This window comes from Homo sapiens, chromosome 10, assembly GCF_000001405.40.
Source record: "Homo sapiens chromosome 10, GRCh38.p14 Primary Assembly".
Taxonomy (NCBI): domain Eukaryota; kingdom Metazoa; phylum Chordata; class Mammalia; order Primates; family Hominidae; genus Homo; species Homo sapiens.
In genome coordinates, this window is record NC_000010.11 from 82,158,200 (window position 1) to 82,183,197 (window position 24,998).

General features: G+C 34.6%; 1 protein-coding gene across 25 annotated transcripts in view; it reads left to right on the plus strand.

Annotated features, from left to right (window-relative positions):
* The window catches only part of NRG3 (neuregulin 3), a 1,111,986-nt gene that overhangs the window by 283,006 nt on the left and 803,982 nt on the right, over positions 1-24,998 (plus strand). For 2 of the 25 annotated variants that reach the window (NM_001370082.1, NM_001165973.2), the window contains exon 2: positions 8,528-8,627. The exons of 22 other annotated variants lie outside the window; for them this stretch is intronic. In NM_001370082.1, the coding sequence (NP_001357011.1) occupies positions 8,528-8,627 (100 nt within the window). Of the gene's footprint in view, positions 1-8,502; positions 8,628-24,998 lie in introns of those variants that run through there. One more of the 25 variants, XM_017015582.2, reaches the window with a different exon arrangement.

The following is a 24,998-nucleotide window of genomic DNA, read 5'->3' on the forward strand; positions in this document are numbered from 1 at the left end:
AAAATGTTAGTCAACATCAAAGTCCTTTTATGAAGGAAACTGAATTAACATGTCATTTATTCATTGTTACAAATAATTTTCAGTTAAACAAGTGAATATTTTCTCCAAAATGGCTCTAAATTTAATTGTCATCTAAATGTTTGAATATTTTGGCTTTTTTAGTCTCCTGTGAACATGTCTGTTGGTCTATGGTGTCTCACGGTGTATGTGCTCCTGTGAGCATGTCTGTGTGTATGTCTATGTCTGTGTCTCCGTATGTGTTGTATTTGAAAGTCTAAAATAGGAGGCCCTTTAAGAGAAGTGTTTATGATGTTAAAATCTCAAGTCTTTTCATGGAAGTGTGTCTGCGCAGGTAAATTGGATGTATATTTCTCTCTGAATGATCTGACTGTTGGGTTTAATAAGGCTATAGCTGATGCCAGTTGTGTTGAGGAGTTTGCAAATTTATTGTCAAATAAACTCTCCTCTTACACTGTTTTGAGATCATTCCTTTGGGCTTATGTACTTTTTCTTCACATGTAAGTAAAATGCCACAAATGCTTACTCTTGAAATCCTGAGAGAAGTGGCATATTATTTTTATGGGAATTGTACGATTCTTAACCACTGTCCTTGATTAAAATAAGAGCCTTTTTTCCTTCTTAAACCTGATCATTTTCACACTGGAAATGAAATCTTTCATGGGGATTAGTTTACTCACTCAAGCTTTCCATTCAGATGAAGGTGTGAAAAATACATGACAAGAATATTATTTAAATGCTCAAACTTCTGCATGAAGAGCATGAAACAAGAAGAAAATGATAGTCTTTAGCTGTAGATAGGTTTCAATTTTTTTTAGTAGGCTTCAAATTCCTTTTAAGACAAACAAAAAATTAAAATAGAAGACCAACTATGAAAATAATGATTTGATTTAATCTAAACTTCCATGAAGGCTGCAAGTTACAGATTAGGTGCATCACCTGAAAGTAACATTGCTGATTGCATAGCTTTGGAAGCTAGGTTCAATGATGTATATGCAAGTAACTAAGTTTCATATGCAATGGTTCTCTATTGCACTCAGGAAATTAGCCTGGCATTTAAAGCCATTCATCATCCAACCTCCTGACCACTCCAACACTATCTTCCTTCACTCTCTCAGCACTCCAAATATCTCTAACTGCTTGCAGTTTCCTGAATATATTACTGGTTTTCAAGTCTCTAAAAATGTTGCTTTCCCTGTCTGTCATGTTCCTTTTCTGTTGTTCCATCTATTGGACTCATCCTTTAGGATTTCATTCCGGAATCAGTTTCCTTCTCCAACATCTTCCTTTGGGTTACCTGGGTGGCTAACGCCCTCTGTTCTCTCATAGTACCCTGGGTTCACTCCAGTCATAGTTCTTTATACAGAATATTTTAAGCATGTTTATTTTTCTGCTTCTCTTATTAAGTAGAGAGAATCTAAGAAATAGAAACCATGCCTTCGTTAGTTTTTTAGTCCCATAGCATCAGGCTTCATCCCTGGAACATAGTAGGTGCTCAGTCAACTTTGTTGAGATAGACTTTGTGAGATGCAGCAGAATCAAGGAAGGTAAATGTCCTGGGTTCTATACAGAGGGAGTTAAAAATACAAATAAGAAGAAGTCACTCTTCTAAAGGAACTTGAAAAGGAAAAGATGCATAATTATCTTAAATATAAAGCTATGTGTGGATGCTGTCAGATGTTCACCTGGAAAGAGTCCTGGAATGAATGGAGCAAAAAATTCAAATTTCTTTTCACTGAGAGGTGGTGGAAAGCCTTCATGAATAAAGAAACATCTTGAGCTGAGCCTCAAGGATCCTATAAGAGTTGTTTATTGTTTGTTTGTTTGTTTTAGTGGATATTTACTGAGCTCACATAGCCTGTAAGAATTTAAGCTCTGTATTACCACTATGGTTGACAAGTGTGAATTTAATTAGCCCTTTTCAAAAAAATAATAAAAAGCAATCCATTTTACCTACCTAAACACAATAGAATCATCTAAATATCTTATTTTCAGTGGTTTTCTGATAGAAGATAATGCACTTATTCTGAAGTCCTGTCCCCTAGCAACACTCTTCTTCACCAGTCTGCTAATGGCTTGGCAGAAGAGGTAAACTCAGTTTTGGGGCAAAAGTTTTTTAAGCAGGAAATCATGCAAAAGTATAAACAGCAAACAGATTTTAAATTCTGAAGGTTCCTGGGAAAAGTCATAGGATACTGAATGCTTTGTCATGGCTATACAGATGAAAACATCGCTAAACAGAGTGAATCATAATAATGGATTTTGTAAGGAATTTCTTTTTTTTTGTTTTGTTTTGTTTTGTTTTTGAGACAGAGTCTTGCTCTGTTGCCCAGGCTAGAGTGCAGTGGTGCAATGGAATTTTTAAGGCATAGTTCTCTGTTTGCTTTTAACCCAAGCAAGAAGAAGAAATAGGACTGTAAGAGAGACAAGAACCCTATCAATTTGAATAACTCAGGGAATAGCAAAGTATTTGACTTTGAATGCAGGATTTCTCTAAAACATTGAATATTGAAGAGAATATTTTAAGGATAAAGACCAACATTCAGTTAGTTCTTGCTCAGTAAATGTGGTAGTAGGGAAACAAGTTCAGCATGTGATCTAAGTACTGGCACATGAATGAACAGCAAGGCTCATAAACAGCCAATGAGAAAATGAAGCTCACTGTTAATATGGGAAATATAAACTAGAATAAAATTATATTGGAAAAATTTTAAAAATATGTACAATACCTGGAGCCCTGGGGGTATGGAAAATGTGTACTATAATACACTGTTAGCGAGGTTAGACGTTGGTGAAGTCTTTCTGTCTTGAGACAAAGTGAATTGGCATGCTATTTCCTGAGAGAGGAAGACTGGGAAAGAACAAGGTATAGGGAAGTATTAAAAAACTAAGAATTCTATTTGGGAAATTTTAAAAGATTATTATCAAGAATTCAGGTGGGGATGTCAAATAAGCCATTGAGCCTGGAGCCCCAGGAAGTGGTTAGTGCTGGAAGAATTGGAGTCACCGGCATAGAGAAAGTACATGAAGTTATGGGACTTTAGTTATCAATCACTAGTTTCATAACTAGAGGTTGGTTAATGGTCTGCTATTGCAGGGTGCACTGTTCTCAGAATTTGTGTGGATATGATAACACAAGTCCTGAGTTCCAACTTTAAGGAGCATGAAATCTTGTTTTAAATACAGAAGCACCGACTATGGGGCAAGTGGTCCATTAAATATATAAAGCAATCACTTCCCCTTTTTTTGTACCTTTAGTAGGCCAGCACTTTGCATACATTGGCTATAATCTTCACATAGACATGCCGAGGTAGATATTTTTTCCCCAGTTTTACTGATAAGAAATCTCAGGCTCTGAAAGGATAAGTGAATTTTATATTAATACATTCACTGGATAGTAAATGGAGTTGCTGGATTTCCAGTCCTGGTCTATCTCATTGAAAGCCTGTTCTCTTTTCAACTGCCTTTCAGTAACAGGTGCTGTTGTCACTGAATCCTTAGCTTCCTGACCCATACTATCTGAATAATGATCCCTACATACTTCTAGGAAAGAAAGATATCAACTGCAATTACCCCTATTTGACAGATGGAGATCCTGGATTGCTCTAAGTTTAAGCAAAGCAATTAAGCTTGGCCAAGGTGTCTGCCATGGGAAAGCAGATTCACTCCATTGCTTCTTAGATTCAAATACTGCAATGTATTGATTATTGCATGAATATATTCAGTGGCTTGATATAACAAAGTGGCCCATCACTCTTGATCATTCTCAATATCAGTGTGCCCAAACCCTCAAATGACTTGCCGGAAGCTTATATATTAAGGGAAACTTCCAGAATGCAATGGAAAATGAAACTTTGTTTCACTAGAATAGATTCTGTTCTTGAAGAGAGAATAGGACAATAGATTTGGTTTTCATGGATCAATTCTCATTCTTCAAAACTTCTGCAATTATCTGTCGAATTTAAATTTAGCTCAAGTGAACACTAGTTTCCAGGATGGGTTCAGGAGCTCAAACTTGATAGCTAAAGGAGAGGTGAATGGCTAAAATACCTCCATTCTTGTGAGCTTAAATTTATACATAAAAGTGTCAAATCACTCCACAAAATCACTGAGCTTTCCTTTTTATTTTACTTTTTACATTTAATTGCTGGGCAGTTGAACATTACAGGGCAGGCTACTGCATCAGTACTAGGTGCCTTGCTCTGCCATCATTTTGTCAGTTGTTCTGTGTGTCAAATATATTATTCTGTTTGCAAAAGTCAGCCACTGACTTTTAACATTGTCATCATCTCATTCTATTCCCCACTCCTTTTTGGGCAGAGTAAATCTTTCTAAAGACAAGGGCAAGAGAAGTCACTAAGTTATTGGCTGCCCTTTTTCACTGAACCCAAAGAGAATACATTGAAGTGTCAAGTGAGTGAGCTTCCACCGCTTCTCAGCCTATCATCATTACTGGCAGAGAAACCAGTAAGTCAACCCAAGACAGCAACGGAGATATGTAACTATGGGATGTGTTGCTTTCAAGAGAATTGCAACTCAGAGCTCTTTCTAGCACGTGGAATCAATTTAACCCTTTTATACATAAGCCAAAGTCCTCCCTTCATGACTCAGTTATTTGAGTTAATAAAGCTCTCCAAATCTGTCTAGTCCTTTAGCTAAACAGTGTTAACTAAACCATGTGAATCTCCTCCTCTAATTAACAGCTACTTTATTAAAATGCTATTGCCCTGTTGGGAACTAGTTGGCAGGGTGACAGAGAATGGAGTTTGTGCTATGGACTATTGATTTTCAGTTAAATTCTTACTGTGCTCTTGGCTTTCTCCTGCTTGTGGCTTAAAGTACCCAAACCATTCAGGCCAGCAAAAGAGGCCACTTTGCTCTCCCTGGTTTTTATTGGCCTCTTTTCAGAAGGTCTAATTAACCTATGGAGTCTTCCAAATTTACCGACAGCTCTTTCATATTAATCTCTCTTCTAATATAAGAAATTTCTTTTTTAACCTTCCACTCAAAAAGATTATTTCAAAAAGTGCCCACAACTGAAGGAGTGACTTAATCAGGTTCTCAAGGAAAATGCCTCTCTTTACTTTGCACCTTAAGCTCTGCCATTGTTATTTTATGTTTTGTGCATATATGAACTTTTCATTCCTGTCTTTAAAATATTTATCAGTCATATAAAATTTGGATAATGGTGAGAAGCACAAAGAAGGAGATAAAAATCAGCAACCAGATACCAACTACAATATTGTAAATATTTAGGCAATATAGTCCTTGAGGACTTAGATTTTCGATTAGACATCACTGTCATTCATTACATCAGTAGGTGAATGAGACAAATTAATTCAGGAAGCTATAAATGATGGGAAATCTCTGGTATGTCAATGTAGGATAGGTGAAGGCTGGCAAGAGAGTTCTGGTTTAGAAGTGGTTAGAAAAGATCTCTGTGAAGGCTGAGGAGGAGCAATCTAGGCAATGCCTCCAGGTAGGAACATGGTTGTCCTGATTGAGGCTAGGACCTTTAGAGTCATGGACAAGGTAGGCCGTGGTTGATCTTAGGTTAGTAATGCAGGAGAAGACAGTTCATGTATGCTTTTGGTACTATGGTGAGGAATTCAGATTTTATTTTCAGTGTGGTGAGATGCCATTATTGGGCTTCAAGCAAGGGACCTATATGATAGGGTCTATAGGTTTTTGTTTCTCTCTTAAAATTTTTTTTTTTTTTTTGAGATGGAGTCTCGCTCTGTTGCCCAGGTTGGAGTGGAGTGGTGCAATCTAGTCTCACTGCAACCTCCACCTCCTGGGTTCAAGTGATTCTCCTGCCTCGGCCTCCTGAGTAGCTGAGACTACAGGCATGCACCACCATGTCTGGCTAATTTTTGCATTTTTATTAGAGATGGTGTTTCACCATGTTGACCAGGCTGGTCTCGAACTCCTAACAGGGATCCACCTGTGTAGGCCTCCCAATGTGCTGGGATTACAGGCGTGAGCCACAGCACCTGGCAAAATTTTTTAATTGGTACATAATATTTGTACATAATTATGGAGTAGATGTCATATTTTGTTACATGCATAGAATGTGTAATGATCAACTCAGGATATTTAGGATATTCATCACCTGGAGTATTTATCATTTCTGTGTGTTGGAAGATTTCAAGTCCTCTCTTCTTGCTATTTACAAATGTACAATATATTGTTGCTAACTCTAGTCACCTTATTCTGCTATGTAACATTAGAACTCCTTCCATCTAACTCTACATTTGTACTCATTAACCAACCCCTCTTTATCACTCTCACTCGAACCACTGCCCTTTACACACACACACCCTCCCCAGCCTCTGGTATGTATCATTTTACTCTCTACCTCCATGAATAACTCTGGCTGCTGTATGGAGAATGGATTTTAGAGAGCAAGAGTGCAAGTAGCAGGGGGGAGATTTGGAGTCAAGAGATGGCAGTACTTGGCTGAAGGTTGGTAGTGAGAGGTAAGAAAAGAAAACAGTCAAGAAAAATGATATTTTTGCTTATTCATATTAGGAAAACTAGGTGGGGAGCTAGTTTGGGGAAGGAAAGCAAATAAGAGTTCTGGTTTTGGACATGTGAACTTTCAACTTGGTTATAGTAGTGTGGAATTCAAGGGAGAAGTTAGGATTCAAGATATAAATCAACTAGTAAAGGAGAAGTTATAGGAGTTATTATAGTATTTAGCCTTCTAATCTTTTTCATGGTTTGATTTAATATTTTTAGAAAAGACTGGCACTCTAATATCTGTTTATGCCCTATATAACTTATTTATTAAAACATGGTATGTGCATTTATATATCTATGTATAGATAGACATAAAAAATATTTTCATGTATATTTTTATATAAGTACTATATTGCATTCCATTGTATGGATGCTACCATTTGCTAATCAGTTCTCTACAACTGGACATTTATGCTGTTATATTTTATTAATTTATAAATGTGGTAGCTTTTCAATAAATCTTGACAAATATTCAGTTTTTTTTCTAGAACAAATTTTCAATGAGAAGTAGTACTGGGAGAAATTTTAAGAATTTTTATATAAAAATACGATTTGCATTCCATATCAGACACCTAATGATGGATGCTCAATAATTATTTATTTGCAGACTGATTACAGTCTCATTAGGATTACATAAAGGTGACATTTTCTCTTGGCTTTGGCAAAACCGAATAGTGCAATTTATAATAATGTCAATTTTGTAGGCAAAATAGCTTATTTATTTTACATATGTAAAATTAGGGAAATGTTAATATTTTTCATACTTTTCATTAGGCATTTGTTCTTTTGTAAACATTCACTCATAGTTGTTTCCTGCTTTTGAATAGGTGATCATTTTTTTCCTCATTGTAAAAACTCTAAATACATATAGAATATTTAAATTTTTATCATAAATATATTACATACTTGTTTTCTTTCATATTTGTTATTTACTTCTTAATTGCATTTGTGAGTTTCTTTTTTTTGAGAGGGGGCGTGACAGAGGAATGTACAGGAGACTTTAGTATTTTATGTTGCTAAAGTAGACTTTTAAAATATTCTAAAGGAAAATAAGCCTTGGAAATCTAAGAATTATTTTTTGTGAATTGAAAAAATTCTCAATATTCCAACAGACTCAAATAAATAGCTGAGTAAAGCTAAGTACATCTAGTCAACATTTTAAAATCATCTTCCCATTTGTTTTCTTGCTATTCATTTTTTATTTGTCCCATCTGTTCTTTGTTCTCTTTTCCTGTTTTCTACTTTTTTTAGATTAATTGAATTTTTTATTTTTATTTTTAATTTATTATTAATTTTTTTTGTGATGGAGTTTCACTCTTGTTGCCCAGACTGGAGTGCAACAGCGCGATCTCAGCTCACCACAACCTCCGCCTCCCAGGTTCAAGCAATTCTCCTGCCTCAGCCTCCCCAGTAGCTGGGATTACAGGCATGCACCACCACGCCCGGCTAATTTTGTATTTTTAGTAGAGATAGGGTTTCTCCATGTTGAGGCTGGTCTCTAACTCCTGACCTCAGGTGATCCGCCCGCCTTGGCCTCCCAAAGTGCTGGGATTACAGGCATGAGCCACCAGGTCCGGCCTGATTGAATTTTTTAATGATTCCATATTATGTTCTTTGTTGACCTATTAGCTATAAATCTCTGCTTTGTATTTTAGTAGCTGTTTTAGGATTTTTCATATATCTCTTTAACTATTAAAATCTATATTTGTGATATTATAATACTTCATGTGTAGGAAAATTGCCTTACAATAAGTTTTTTCATTTTGCCTCTCCTGGTCTTTGTGGTATTGTTACATATATTTCACTTTTGCCCATATTATAAATACTATATTGCATTGCTATTATTTTTGTTTAAGCAATCAATAATTGTTTAAGGATATTTAAATAATTATGTCTATATATACACACATATATATGTATATATAGAAAAATATATATATTTACTAATTTAGTTACCATTTCTGGTGCTCTTCATTCTTTTGTTTAGATCAATATAATCATCTGGTATTATTTTCCTTCTGCCTGGAGGACTTGCTTTAACATTTCAAGTAGTGTGGGTCTGCTGCTGACGAATTCATACAAATTTTGTAAGTCTGAAACAGTCTTTATTTATCTTCATTACTGAAAGGTATTTTTTTCTCAGTAGTTTTTTTTTATTCCCTCCTTGGTATTTTAAAGATGTGCTTGACTGTCTTCTTGCTCGCATTATTTTGATAAGAAATCTGCCATCTTTCTTATCTTTGTTCCTATGTATGTAACGCATCTTTTCTCTCTGCCTGTTTGTAAGATTTTCTTTTTATCACAGATTTTTAAAAATTTGATTATGATGCACCTTTATATAGTTTTATTCTTTTTAAATTATTTTTTCAAATGTGGCTTCTATTTCAACTGATTGAATTTTTTCTTCCTCATTGGTCTTATTTTTCTGCTTTTTTTGCATGCCTAGTAATTTTTTATTCAATGTCAGACATTGCAAATTTTACTTGTTGGGAGATTTTATTATTATTCATAAAATTTTTAGTTTTATTCTGGCATGCAATTAATTTACTTGGTAAGTGTTTCATTCTGTTAGTTCCTGTTTTTATGATTCGTAGGCTGGACTAAGGCAGTATTCAGTCTAGAACTTATTATTTCCCTCTCCTTATATATGACTCTCTCAATAGTAAACAAAATGATTCTTAAGTCTGAATATGACTTAGTGGCAGTGGCATCCAAAGGGGCAGGGTGATGGGAGTGTTCCACCCTGTAGAGAATTTTATAATAATTGCTGTGTTTACTGTAAAATTTTATAAAATATGTATAAGCTTCATATTAGCACATTATTATTACTTATTATATTTTTTATATGAAGGTTAATTCAGAGAACTCCCAATTTCATAATTATCTCCTAGCACACATGGGCTCAGCCACAGTTATTTGTTTTCAGAATAAGTTCTTTTGGGTTTATCATTGTTTAAACTTGTGATAAGCGTTTGTTGTACTTTTGTAAATATTTGCTTATATTTACCACCTTCTTTTTAATACGTGATTGTTTTTGTTTTTCTCATTTTAAAAACTCCAAATACATAAAGATTATTGAATGGTGTGTTTATCATAAATATATTTCACACTTGTTTTCTTTTATGTTTGTTATTTACCTATTAATTGTATTAATGGGATTCTTCATTTTTTTGAAGGGGGAAAGCGTGAGAGGGATGTACAGAAGAGTTTCTTCTTTTATATTGCTAAAGTAGCCCATCTTAAGATTTTTTAAAGGAAAAAAAAACCCTTGGAAAACTAAGAATTATGTTTTGGAAATTGAATATTTGTCAATATTATTCCTCCTCCTTAGACATGACTCTCTTAATAATAAACAAAATGACTATTAATTTAACTCTGAATATGACTTTGAATATTTTCTCTTTGTGCAGCCTAAGATTGCTGCATTTGTCTTCTTTCTATGGTAGTACCTGTTTTCATGTAGGATCGTTCCCCTAAATGTTTGTCAACATTTGGCTGTCTGCTTATATTAAAAATGCTGTGCTTGAAACCTATTCCAAGGCTCTCCGTGGGTAGGTGGCTGGGAATTGTCCATTTGGCTTCTCTCTTGGAAGATCCCAGTAGGAAACCCTCAACATCAGTATCTTCAGGTCATATTCTTTGGAGTGGTCAGAGTCCCCAGAGAAAGAAAACATTCCTCCACTCTTCTACAGATGTGAAATACACTTGCCCATCAAAATATGGAGAGATAGATGAGGAAAGAATAATGAAAGTATCAATACATAATCTCGAGTTTTGAGCTTTTTCTTTTCTCACAATGTTACAACCTCATCCAACCAGACTACCTAGAATAGTGATCATGGTTGACATGTGCAGTCCTCACCTGTGAATGATATACCTCAGTCCTGGGGATTTCTGATTTACCCTTTGCAGGGAATTACCCTCCCATCTGTTTCCATAGTGGTGCAAGGTAATTAACCCAGCAGTGTGGAGTGGCCTAATGTGAGAGAAAGTTCTGTTTGTTTCTTAACCAGATTCACAGAAGTTCTCCATTTTTAAAATTGTGCTTTCTACATCCCAATTTTAGAGGTATCATTTCTGCCATTTTCTCAGATTTTGGAATTTTTAGAATCTAAATTGAGTTTCCATCAATTTTTCTGACTTCTAGATAAACTGTTCACCTTTCTCTGGCCTGCTGAGTCAGTTACATTATTCTCTGCTTTCTAGCATCCAAAAGGTGTTTTGTTGATTCTTATACCCTTTGTTCTTTTTAATTCATGCCTTCCTACAATTCCTTTACTAGAGATTTATTGCAGTTTCATGATGAAGTTGACCTCAGTACTGTATTCAGCTTACCATCTTAATACTCACATATCTGCAAACATCTTTCCATAGCAATTATGTGAAGAAAGCGACGAGCATATGTGTAAAATTTTATTTCAGCTTCATATTGGTATCTTTATGCACACCTGTGTAGTTCTTTTATTCTTATAATTCTAAAATGTTGGCTAGATGTACTTAGGTTTGTATAGTCATTTGTTTTGAATGTTAAGAATTTTCAATTTACAAAAATACTCTTTTTCAAGAGTGGCTATCTTTTAGGATATCTTAATCATTTTTTTTCCCACTTTTTAAAGATCTGGTATTTTCTTAAGGAACAATTATCTATATTTCAGAATTCTATACTCATCCTTCTTTATATATTATTAGTTTTTGTAACTTTGTATCTTTTGTTTTTCACTTCCCTTCTGAATTCTAAAAATGTTCTTGTGTTTTAATTTTTTTAATTTTTTATTTTTTTATTATACTTTGAGTTTTAGGGTATATTACTTACATCTCTGTAAAATGAATTTTGCTTAATACTACTTCCAGTGTAAATTTTGATTCTACAATTTGATTTGTACTCTTCCTTAAAATATTTCTTTATTTCACCTATCTTTCTTATAATTTCACTCATTTTGTTTTGCATTTCTACTTGCTCTCTCTGTAATATTTTTCCTGTTTTCTTAATATTCATTTATTTTTATTCTCTATTAAAGATTATGTGTAGTTTCTTCTAAGTTTTTCTGATCTTTCAGTATATCATTTTTATTATTCTGTTTTTTCTGAGTCTATTGATTTTTCTTTATATTGTTTTCCAACATTTCTTATTTTTTTCTTTATTCACCTTTAAATGAGGTAGGATTTTGGTTGATATTTGTTCTACTGTTAGCCTACTTGTGTGTAAACAAATTAGCTTCTCAGATAAGATTTCAAGACTTAAGTTTTTCATGTGTGTTTTTTTTTTTTTGATAGACCACTGATCTATGGATATGAGATATTTTCTATCTCCACTGTTTTGTTCTTTAATTCTCTGAACTGCTGTAGTGCATTAACAAATGTTAGTTTCTGGTTCACTTTTCTATATCCAAATTCTATACTCAACACATTACCAGAGATAACTTCACAACAGAATAGACCATTCTAATGGAGTCCCATCTGTTCCTGGCCTATGGGTTTCTGAAATATACCACCTTTTCTCTTGTGCAGAAAAATGGCATGGGTGAGAAAAGGTCTAACATAATGTTCAGCTCACAGAGTACTACTGTCCAAAAGACAGAGAGAGCAAGCATGTGGCCGGGTCTTCAGATTAGTAGTTACTTGACTTCTGAGTCAATAAACAGTAAGTAGGTAATATTAAAATCATAGCCCAACATTTTTCAGGCAGTACCTCTGTATTCCCTTGAACTTAATATGCGTCTTGTCCAAACCTGGGTATTTATTTTCTCCATGAAAATCCATATGGTTCACCATTCAACACCTGATTCTGAGTCTCAGCTTTTTCATTTATTAGTTGTTTGACCTTGGGCGAAGTCTCACTAAAGCTTAATTTTCTCATTTTTAAAATGGGGAATAATTGTGAGAATTGAATGAGATGATGTTTATAAAACTTGTGGTATATATATATATATATATATATATATATATATATATATATATGTAAATATATATAGGTATATAATAAGCATCATTAAATGTTAATGGCCATCATTACAAATAGAGTCAGCTTTTTCAAAATTGCCATTCGATTGCCAGCCTTCAGTTTTGATAGTATTGTGAGTTTCCATATTTTTCTTTTTCTCACCCCCAATTGATATTCCAATCAGAAGGTAGGAGAAGTCATATTATAAGTTAATATTGTTTCAATCCAAAATCTCTTTAATTTTAACATTTCTATGTTAATTTGATTTATGGGTGTTGTCAGATTGTTTTATGCAGTCTGAGATCATTTGTCTTCATGTGAAGGAGCTGAAGACATTAATATTGATTATGATAATAGATACTCTGGCTTTATTAGTGTCATTATTTTCTATTTTCTTTCATTTTCTTTTCCTCCCATTTTTGTTTAATTCTCATTTAGTCTCCTGGTGCAATTCAATCAATGTATTTGGTATGAAGTATTTCAAAAATAGAAGTCCCATTTTTGCATAAATTAAAATAATGTGGAAAGTAGAGACGCATCAAATCAATCATTCTTTCTCCCCTAGTTGCCTGGCCCAGTGATGTACTAAAAGATGAAGTATACTCCTTACTAGCAAGGTTTTTCCTCTCTTTGCCCAGCAGCCCTACCTTACTTCCCACCAACATGTCCTCCGAGCCACACCTTCCAGGATTTAAAGCACTGCTTCTACTTTGCCAGCACCAAAGAAAATCTGTGTAGAGAATTCTTGGCTTAGTTGCTCTCTGATAGATGCTGTATAGAATGATATAGGTCATAAATGGGAGTATGATGGAAGGGGAAGCAGTTATCTTGCAGCCACTAAGGACCTGGAAGCAAGATGTTTCCTTCATCAGAGCAGGTTAAATTCAGCTGCGAGTATTACAGTTCAAGTTAGTGGCTTAAGCAAAATAGAACTACATATTTCTTCCATGTAGGAGTAGTTCAGAGGTAGGCAATTCAAGAATTCATGGTTCCAGGAACTCAAAAACTTGCTCTTGTTTCTCATGCCTGGCTGCTTACATAACCAAAATTGCTTCATGATTCAAAATAACTGTTGATATTCTGGCCACTGCATCCACGTTTCATGTAGCAGGAAAGGTAAAGAGGGAAGAACAAGGATATCCCTTCCTTTTAAGAGAATCTTAAGAAGTGTCATGACAACACTGCTTCCTATATCTTATAAGATCTTAGTAGCCACACCTGGTTGTAAGAGGTGATAAGGAATGACATTTTTATCACTCAGCAATGTGCACAGCTAAAATACCAGGATTCATTTACATCAGAATAAAGGTAAATGGAATTTGGGCTAATTATTGCACTGTGACACATCTGTTCTGTGTTTGGGGTTGATGAAAATGCCCCGTATCACATCAGTAGCAGCCAGTGATGGAAATACCAAGTGTGCTCTGAACACCTGCATGGGGTTTCTATTGAGGAAGTGAGACTCAAGCTTACTGTTTCCTGCTGCACTCCATTGGAATTAAAATTGGTGAACAGATTTCTATGATTCCTGCGCTCATTGCTCTTTTTATCCTATTAGTGGACAACTAATAAACAAAGAGAATTTAAAGTCAAGTCTACTGAAGTGGCCAACCGTGTTGTCTAAAAGGCTAAGAATGTGAATGTTTTCTGACAGGTACATTACAGCAGTTTTCATTTTAAAATTTATACCCAAGAATATGTGGGTTACTGCTTGTCTTTGATTTATTTTTAATGTGGACAATGAACCCCAAACATGAAGAAGATGGTTTGGCGAAATGTTTGTAACATATGTCCTTTGGGAAGTGGCTTCATAAACTGGAGAATAGAACAAGAAATCTACGCTTAAATCTCAGCTTCAAGACTTCAGGATCCCAAGTGGTGATCCTGGGGCTACTGCTAAAATTCACTGAGATTCAGCTTGATTATATATGAAAACAGAGATCACCTTCAATCTCATCAGCCACAGAACCTGTCACACTGTGTGCATCTCTATCTCCATGCCTGGGGTCATGCCTTTATGCATGTAAATTTAATGGTCTCCTCATTCTAACTTCCTATAAGATTGAAACACAGAGGTCTGCGGGGCCTTTCCCGCTTGACCCATAATGTAATGTAAAGACCCATCCTAACACTGGCCTTGTGATGGGCCCTCCCTGTCTCCCTTCTTTTACATCATTCCCAACAAAAGCAACCCATCATAGTTATTTTACTAATAGTTGAGTAAAAAATGTAAAATTACCTCTCTCTCTATTACTTTTAGAATGTATAAAAATCAACAGGGAGTCTTCACCACAGGCTCCTAATATGAAAGTGTCTGTGCAGGAAAATCCATAAGCTAGGGTGACTTTTGAGTTAAATTAAATTTTATGGCTCAAAAAATGCTTTGCTTGGTTTTCACTACCATTATAAAGCAAAGAGGATAATTTCAGATTCAGTTTCTACAAAGGATTGCTTTGGGTTGATACAGGCTTTATGTTAGTGGCATGGAAGTATTTGCATCTGCACATTGATATGTAGTGAAATAGGCTGTAAAAGATAAGATCAATTTCCTGTTAAAGGTAAAAAGGCCAATGTAGCCAGATACATTAAGTTTTTTTTTTTTCCATTTGTCATTCAGGACTGTTTGACAGTTTTACATTAGCTGTGAAAGGCACCAACTGGTACACTACTGTCAAGACTTAGAAAGTAGGCACACGTACACAAACACGCACACATGCTGATGTAAAATATAAATATAAACAGATAGAAGCCTGGACCATACATATGAGTGCCAAAAATGCAGTTGTCACATGCATACACACCTATTAAAACATAGCAACACAATCTTATAGCAAAGACATGCACACACAGGTACAAGGACATTGACCAGATGACACAATGACACAGCTGGGATTGACAATTACAGGTGAGCAAGCAAGATGAGGGCTAATGTCCATAGGAGCCAAGAGACCTAGAGACCCTCATGTAAACACACAGAGATGTATGCATATGTGAACACACACACACACACACACACACACACACGCATGAAAAGAGAGACCCAGAGACAAGGCCAGACAAGAACACAAAGATCAACACTTACGTACACATAACTAAAAGGCATGCTCCAAAGTGTGCTAGAGACTCAGAAACATAGACCCTCACTCATTCATGTAGCCACGGCCTCCTGACCTCTGGTTAGCTATGTTTTCATTTTGTACTGAGACCTTTAAAGTAATTTATTTGCTTCAAGACTCTTCATTGACTCCTCCTTCGTCCGTTATATTTGGTCTACTTTGAAGTGTAATTCATTTCAAATTATGTTTTTAGGTTTAATTCCTACAATTCAGGTTCTCATGCATCATCTGGACTATTACAGTGGCTACCGGAAATTACCTGGAGTCCGTCTAGCCCTCCCCAAGTCATTCAAAATTACCCATGTGTGGTACATCATTACTGGGTAGAAGAACTGCTTCTAAAACCAAAAAATAACATAGAGTTCATTGAGTCCATTTTATATGTAAAATTTTGAAAGACTAGTAGTCCCATTATTGCACACACATCAATTCCAAATTGTTCTTTTCAACCTTGAGTAATTTCAAGGTTGAAATTAACCATTCTCCTTTATCTTTTATCCTCTATCCCTTTACCTTTATCTCCCTTCATACTTACCTCTTTCCAGCCACTTAAATTTTCCTTGTTTCCTCTTTATGCACATGTTTTTTTCGTATCTCCATAATTTTGCCCATCATTAAGCCAATCTTTCCTCATTCTAGCCTCCTTTAATAATGCTAATATGAATAGTTGCCTGGCCCTTCGCTCTGACAATTACATCCTATTTCTTCTGTTTGTTTTAAGTTTAGAAATCCCACCTGTATTCAAGATCTCATTCATTTATATTTCAAGCCTTAATTAGTAGGCTGTATCCTCTTGTAGCTATAAGTAGCACAGAGCTTAGTACTGTACTTAATTTTTCTTTCAGTCCTTTTCAATATATCAGTTCTCCCCAAATGAAATACAGTCTTCCAGAAGACAGGATCTCCACTTTCTTCTTATCCTTGGCATTTTCCAACCCCTGGCTCACTCTGTTATGATTTTGAGCACTCCACATCCTCATACTGGGGCATCTAGTTCCTGCTGCTTAAACTTCTGACTCCCAATGCTGTATCCTCAATCCCAGTTAGAATTCCAAACTCCAGATCTCTACTTCCCATTTTCTAATGATTGAAGCCTATTTAAGCCCCATGGATTAATTTCAATTTACAAATTCCTGAAACAGTACAACCCTTTCCCATTATCTTACTCTAAATTGATTTTTCCCTCTCTTTTTTAAAAAAATTATGGTTAATTGTCCTACCATACATCCAGTCATCCAAGTTAGAATCTCAGGCATTAATTTTTACCTTCTTGTTTCCTTTGTTTCTTCCCCAACATTAGGGACATTAAGACCTACCCTTATATGGCCTTGCTACCCATCACTTTCTGTCATCCTCTCTGAGTGCTGCTCTGGGCCATCCCCTCACCAACACGAGGTCAGGCAAGAGGGGATGATTGGCTTCAAGCTGCTTCTTTGCTTGCAATTTTGCCTCCTGTGATCAGCCTCTCTGATGCTAACAGAATCATCATTCTGAAAGACAAACCTGATCTTGTCTTTCTTATTGAAAAAAAACTTTAAAGGCTCAAGAGTGCCCTCAAATAAAGTCCAACCTCCTTTAGCAGCAGCGCCTTTTACAGCATCACCTTGACCTACCATCTCAGCTCAACCATCCCTTCCCTTCCATTTGCATCCAGACTATACTTTCCTCTAAATGCTGAATACATCATGTCTGTGATCATTGTTTACCAATTTCCCTTTATCCAAATGCTTCATTTACTGTTCTACCTGGGAAACTATGCTAGATTTTCAAGACTCAGTTCTGAAGGCATCCACAATTTGCTCTGGGAAAATTAAACATTTCCATAACATGTTCTACAAACTTGTAAGATAGCACTCATTATGTGGTTAGCTGTTCACATATCTTTCTCCCTAATTGGACTGTAAGTCCTTAGAGAATAGATCCTATATCTTATCCATCATTGTCTGCCCAGTATGATGTCAGGTAATCTGTGCATAGAATTATTGGCTAAGTTGCTCATGCCAAAAAATACATACTTTGGTAGACGGATACTATTTATTGCCTACCTAATATAAATTCTCTAGTTGATATATATCATTTCATTTGATTTCTACAGTAACTCCATGATATAGTTGCAATTGTTCCTGTTTTCCTAGTGAGATATCTGTGGTCTAGAGAAAATAAGAATTTGACCAGGTTAGTCTGTTTACTTTTCTTTTAGCCCATCATACTCTTTCCGTCAGCAGAATTGAAAACGTGTTCATAAGACATTACCCTTGCATCCAACTTAGGAAGCTCTGGAATAAACAACAGGAGCAAGTTTCTTCTTGTAGTAGTTCTCAAAGTCTTTAATACATTAATATGAATCTTCAAGTTTGTCTATACTGCACAGTACTTCCCAGATCTATTGGCTTTAGAAGCCATTTTATGAGATTCTCATGCAGGATATCCTTTGGGAAATGTAACCTTATATGAAAATGCTGTCTTTAAATAACTTCTGGTGTTCTTAGTCTTTAGGAGAGAACTCCTCTTTCCCAACTCTTTCTCAGGAGCATATACACATCCCTACCCAAGTGCTTCTTCAGTGATACTAATTTCTGACTGAAGTGATTGGCACATCACATCCTGGAATCCTGGAGACCTCCTCCTGTTATATGCCTCTTTTTGCTCTCAGCAGAGAGGAGAGAGATAGAAATGCATGCTTGCTGCTCCCTATATGTTTCTATCCATGCCCAAACACGTAGGCTACCCTCTGTCACAGAGCACACTGAAGGGGAGAGAATGCTTGGATTGAGCTGATTGAACTCCTTGGTTGTCTCCCATCTCCAGCGGTGTTTGGTTTGGGTTGAATGCTGTAGAGTTGCCTGTACCTTCTGCACTCTACAGGAGAAGCTGATTTATTTTTATCTCTGTCTGAGAACAACAACATGGCATCCCCTGATCCCCCTGGTAATTTCCTGGGCTCAATGATTGCTGTTTTCCTTGACCTGTTTCACAGCTGGTGGCACTGCTACTGACCTGGATTTGTTTTCCTTAGCTCAAATGACATAGTAGCCCAGGAGATGCATGGATTTGACAACACAAAGCCTCGATTTTTAAAACAAGACACACACACACACACACACACACAAACACACACACACACTCGGAGGGTTTTTGGAGTCAGAGAGAACATCAGTTCCACCCCTAGCTCCAAGACTCCAAATTTCAGGTCTGCTGCTTGCCAATTAGGACAAGTTACTCAACATCGTAGCCTACCCTTTCCTTACCTGCGTAATAATGATAATATTATCTACCTCTCCGGGTTGTGAAGAGGATTAAATAAGATACCTTAGTGCCTTGAAGATAGCAGCAGTCACTTAATGTTTGCTATGTTTATATTACTATCATTTTTCAATTTAGACTTTTATTGTTTCCCTTTATTACATTTACTGTATATTTTCTTTCTCATGAACTACCTATCTAGGCCTGATTGTGTGTTTTTTAATCTAAGGAGAAACTAAAAGAAAAATCTATTGATCCTTTCTACAAAGGGTTTGTGATTATCTGAGGAAATTAATCATAAACATAGGAAAAGGTTACCTATGATATATGCAATATTTTAATTATTTTTAAAAGAAAAGGTTACTTTGTAGATAAACTTTTTAGATAAATCCATTAACACTCAAGTTTAATGTTTACATAATAACTGAGTACAAAGACCAAGATTTGAAAAGAAGTTTTTTATGTGCGTATTACTTAGAGCATAATCCAACTAAACCAGTGGAACTAAAAACTTTCAAGCCTAGAAAGTTTAGATTCTTAGAATAATTTTTTTTGACATGGTTTTTCTTTGTCATGAAGGCTAGAGTACACTGGAGAAATCACAGCTCGCTGCCACTTCTACCTCTTGGGCCTATGTGATCCTCCCACCTCAGCCTCACGGGTAGCTGGGACCACAGGCGTGCGCCACCACATCCAGCTAATATTTTCTATTTTTTTGTAGAGACAGAATCTTGTTATTAAACATGAACAAATGGGATAAACTAAAAGAAAGATTAATTCAGTCTACCAAGACTAAATTAGAAAGAAATTAAAAATCGGAACAGACCTATAACCAGTAAGGAGAAGAAAAAATATTGCCCTGGTTGATCTCAAACTCCTGGCCTCAAGCAGTCCTCCTGCCTCAGCCTCCAAAAGTGCTGGGATTATAGGTGTGAGGCACTGTGCCCAGCCCATGTAAATTATCGAAGAGCCCAAAGAGCTTTTGCTTATGTGGGTCTTACCCATCAATATTAATGATAGTAAAATTAATATGAGAAGACTTTTAAAATATTTTATTGGTTAATGTAGAAAATAAAAATAAAACCAATGTATTATAAATATTCTAATGAAAAATAAATTATTTTCCAAAACGCCCTCACACATAAAAATGAGAAAAAGGGATGATGTACATGCATATGTTTCATTGTGATTAAAAATGCATAAAATAAAATTTCCCCTTTTAACAAAATTATAAGTATAAAAGACAGTATTAACTATAAGCACGATGAGGTACAGCAGATCTCTAGAAGTTTTTCATTTTATGTGACTAATACTTTATATCTATTGAAAAGCAACTGCTCGGTTAGCCCTTTGCCCAGGCCTGGGAAAAATCATTCTACTTTCTGCTTCTATGAGTTTGACTATTTTAGATACTTTATATAAGTGGAATCGAGCAGTATTTGCCCTTCTGTGACTGACTTATTTCACTTAGCATAATATCCTGAAGATCCATCCATGTTGTAGCATTTGACAGAATTTTCTTCTTTTTATGGCTAAATAGTATTTTATTGTATGTATTTACAAAATGCTGTTTACCTATCAAAGGTCATTTAGGTTTTTTATATCTCTTGGTTATAGTGAGTAATGCTGCAATGAATATGGGAGTGCAGATATCTCTCTTTGAGATCCTAATTTCAGTTATGTTAGATAAATACCCAAAAGTAGGATGGCTCAATCATATTATAGTTCTATTTTTAAATTCTTAAAGAAGACTTCATAGTGTTTTCCATAGCATCTGCACCATTTTAGGTATTCCAACCAGCAGTTCACAGGGGTTACAGTTTTTCCACATTTTTGTCAACACTTGTTATTTTATGTTTTTCTTTATCTTTGTAAATAAATATAATGGCCATACCAACAGGTATGAAGTGATATCTCATTATAATTTTGATTTTCATTTTTCTGATGATCAATGATATTGAAAATCTTTTCATATACCTATTGGCATTTGTATGTTTTCTTTGAAGAAATGTTTATTCAGGCCCTTTGCTCATTTCAAATCAGATAATTGGAGCTTTTTTTGCTACTGAACTATAGGAGTTTTTTTAAAAATTATATTTTAAGTGTTAACCCTTTATCAGATATATGGTTGGAAATATTTTCTCCTATTGTGTAGGTTACCTTTTCACTCTGTTAATTGTTTCTTTTGCTGTGCAGAAGCTTTTTAGTTTGATTTAGTCTCACTTATCTATTTTTTCTTTTGTTGTCTATTCTTTCGCTGTCATATCAAAAAATGCATTTCCAAGAATAATGTCATGAAGCTTTTCCCTTGTGGTTTATTTTAGGAGTTTTACAGTTTCAGGTCTTACATGTAAGTCTTTACCACATTTTGAGTTGCTTTTTATATATGCTGCAATATATGGATTCCATTTCATTGTTTTGCATATGGATTTCCAGTTTTCTGAACATCATTTGTTTAAGAGGCTATCTTTTCTCCATTATGTTCTTGGCATCCTTGTCAATGATTATTTGACGATAAATGCATTGGTTTATTTCTGGGCTGTGTTCTCTGTTCCCTTGACTATATGTTTGTCTTATGCCAGTACCATATTTTTTTATTACTGTAGCTTTGTAATATGTTTTGAAATTACAGAGTATGAGGACTCTGACATTCCTCTTCTTTTTCAAGAGTGTTTTAACTATTTGGGGTCCTTTGTGGTTGCATATTAATCTTTTCTTTTATTTCTGTAAAGATTGCCTTGGGGTTTTGGAAAGGACTGCATTGAATCTGTAGATTGCTTTGATACCATAGACATTTTAATAATATAGTATTAAGTCTTCCAGTCAAGAAAAGTAGAATGTATTTCCATTTATTTGTGTTTTTCAAAATTTCTTTCAGTAACATTTTGTAGTTTTCAGCATATAAGTCTTTCTTCTCCTTGCTTAACTTTATTCCTAAGTGTTTTATTATTTTTAATGCTATTGTAAATGTAATTATTTTTTTAATTTTCTTTTCAGATTGTTCATTGTTAGTGTATAAACACAACTGATTTTTGCATGTTGATTTTATATACTACAACTTTTGTTGAATTTATTTATTAGTTCTGACAGGTTTTTGTGTGTGTGTGTGTGAAATCCTTAGGAGTTTCTTCATATAAGATCATGTCATCTGTGAGTAGAGATTATTTTATTTCTTTTCATTTTTGATTATTTTATTTCTTTTTCTTGTTAAATTGCTCACACTAGAACTTCAGTACAATATTGAATAGAAGTGGCATGAGTGACATCCTTGCCTCGTTCCTGACCTTAGGGGAAAAGCATTCAGGTTTTAACTGTTGAATATGTTGCTAGTGGTGAGCTTATTGGATATGGCCTTTATTATGTTTGGTAATTTCCTTCTATTCCTAGTTTGTTGAGTGATTTTATTATGACAGAACATTAAATTTTTTCAAATTCTTTTTCTGTATATCTTGAGATGATCATGTGATTTTTATCCTTTATTCTGTTAATGTGGTGTATCACCTTGATTAATTTTTGTCTGTTGAACTATCCTTTCATCATAGGGATAAATTCCACTTGGTAAAAAAGTATATAATCCTCTTAGTGCGCTGTTGAATTTGATTTGTTAATATTTTGTTGAGATTTTTACATGCATATTCATCAGGAATATTGACTTGTAGATTCCTTTTCTTGCAGTGTCTTTTTCTGCCTTTGGCTTCAGGGTAATGCTAGCCTTATACATGAGTTTGGAGGGGGCCCCTCAACCACTTCTCAATTATTTGGAAGATTTGAGAAGAACTGTTGTTAATTCCTCTTTAAGTGTTTAGTAGAATTTACCAGTGAAGCCATTGGTCCTGAGTTTTTCCTTGTTGGATAGTTTTTTGTTGTTGTTTTTGTTTGTTATGTTTGGTGTTTTAACTGATTCAGTCACCTTACTTGTTATAGGTCTGTTCTGATTTTTCATTTCTTTCTAATTTAGTCTTGGTAGACTGAATTTATCTGTTTCTTTTAGTTTATCCCATTTGTTGGTGTTTAATTACTCATAGTAATTTATTATAACCCTTTATATTTCTGTGGCATCAATGTCTCCTCTTTCATTTCTAATTCTCTTCATTTAACTATTTTCTCTCTTTTCTTAGTTTAGATAAATGTTTATCAAGTTTATCTATCTTTTCAGAAAACAGCTATTAGTTTTGGTTTTTTATTGTTTCTATTCTCTATTTTATTTATTTTTGTTCTAACCTTCATTATTTTCTCCTTTCTGGTAGCTTTGGATCCAGTTTGGTCTTTTCCTAGTTTATCAAGTTGTAGAATTAGGTTGATTATTTGAGATCTTTCTCCTTTTTAAGATCTTTCTTCTTTTTTAATGTCAGTGTTCATTGCAATATACTTCTCTCTTACTACTGCTTTTGCTGCATGCCATAAAATTGGGTATGCTGTGACTTATTTTCATTTGTCTCAAGATATTTCTAATTTCCCATTTGATTACTTTTTAATTCAGTGGTTGTTCCAGAGTGTATTGTTTAATTTTCAACTATTAGTGAACTTTCTAGGTTCATTTTGGTATTTATTTCTAATTTCATTCCACTGTAGTTAGAAAACATACTTTTGATAAGTTAGTCCTCTTAAATTTGTTAGGACAAGTCTTGTGACCTAACATGTAATCTATCCTGTAGAATGTACTGTGTATACCTGAGAAGAAAGTTTATTCTGCTTTTACTGACTGGAATGATCCATATTTGTTTATAAGGCCCATTTGTTTTATATTGTGCAAGTTCTCTTTCCTTATTGATCTTCTGTCTGAATGTTCTGGCCATTATTGAAAGTGGGTATTGAAAGGTTCTACTGTTATTGTGTTGCTGTGTATTTCTCCCTTCAGTTCTGTCAATGTTTGCTTCATATGTTTAGATGCTCTGATATTGTATACATATGTATTTATAAGTGTTATATCATCTTGGTGAATTGACCTTTTTATCATTATATAATATCCTTGCTCTTGTGACAGTTTTTGACTTAAAATGTATTTTGTCTGGTATAAGTATGGCCATCCTGCTCTATTTTTTTTTCTTTTTGAATGGAACATGTTTTTTTTTCCATACTTTCAGTTTCAACAAATTTGTCCTTAAATCTGTATAGTCTTTTGTAGGCAGCAGATAATTGTATCTTTTTAATCTACTCTGCCACTCTATGTCTTCTGATTGAGGAGTTTAATGCATTCACATTAAAGGAGTTCTTGAAAAGGAAGGACTTCTTTTTGCCATTTTGTTGACTGTTTTCTTTCGTTTTTGTAGTGCTTCTGGTCCTCTTTGTCTCTTTTGATATCTTCCTTTATGTTTCATTGATTTTTTATAGTGACATGCATTGTTTTCTTTCTCATTTATCTTCTATAAATATTATCTTTAGCATTACCATGGGGCTTACATAATCATATTATAGCTTTAATAGTCTATTTTAAGCTGATAACAACTTAACTTCAATCACATACAAAAACTCTTCACTTTAACCTCTGTCCTCCTCTACCCTTTATGTTACTGATACCACAAATTACATCTTTTTATGTTGTGTATCAAATAGTATATTTTTATAGTTATTGCTATTTTTATGCTTTTGTCTTTCAACTTCTAAACCAGAATTAAAATTGATTTATGCACCATGCTTACAGTATTATAGTATTGTATATTTTTAATATATTTATCTTTACCAGTGAACTTTATATTTTATATGTTTTCAGTTTATCATTTAGCATCTTTCAGTTTCAATTTTTAGTACTCCATTAGCATTTTTTTGTAGGGCAGGTCTAGTGGAGTGGAACTCCCTCAGTTTTGTTCATCTGAGAAAGTACATACCTTCATTTTTTAAGGAGAGTTTTGCCAGGTATAATATTCTTGTTTGGCATTTTTTAAGCTCTATGAATATATCATCCAACTTCATTTTTGACTGCAAGGTTTCTGCTGAGAAATCCACTGATAGTGTTATGAGAGTTTTCTTCTACATAATGATTGGATTTCTGCTTGCTGCTTTCAAAATTCTCTTTGTCTTTGAATTTTGACAGTTAGATTATATGTGTCAGTGTGGACTTCCTTGGGTTCATCTTATTGGGGATTCATTTGCCTTCTTGAATCTGAGTGCATTTTTCCTTCTCCAGATTTGTGATGTTTTTGTTGTTTCTGTCCAGTAAT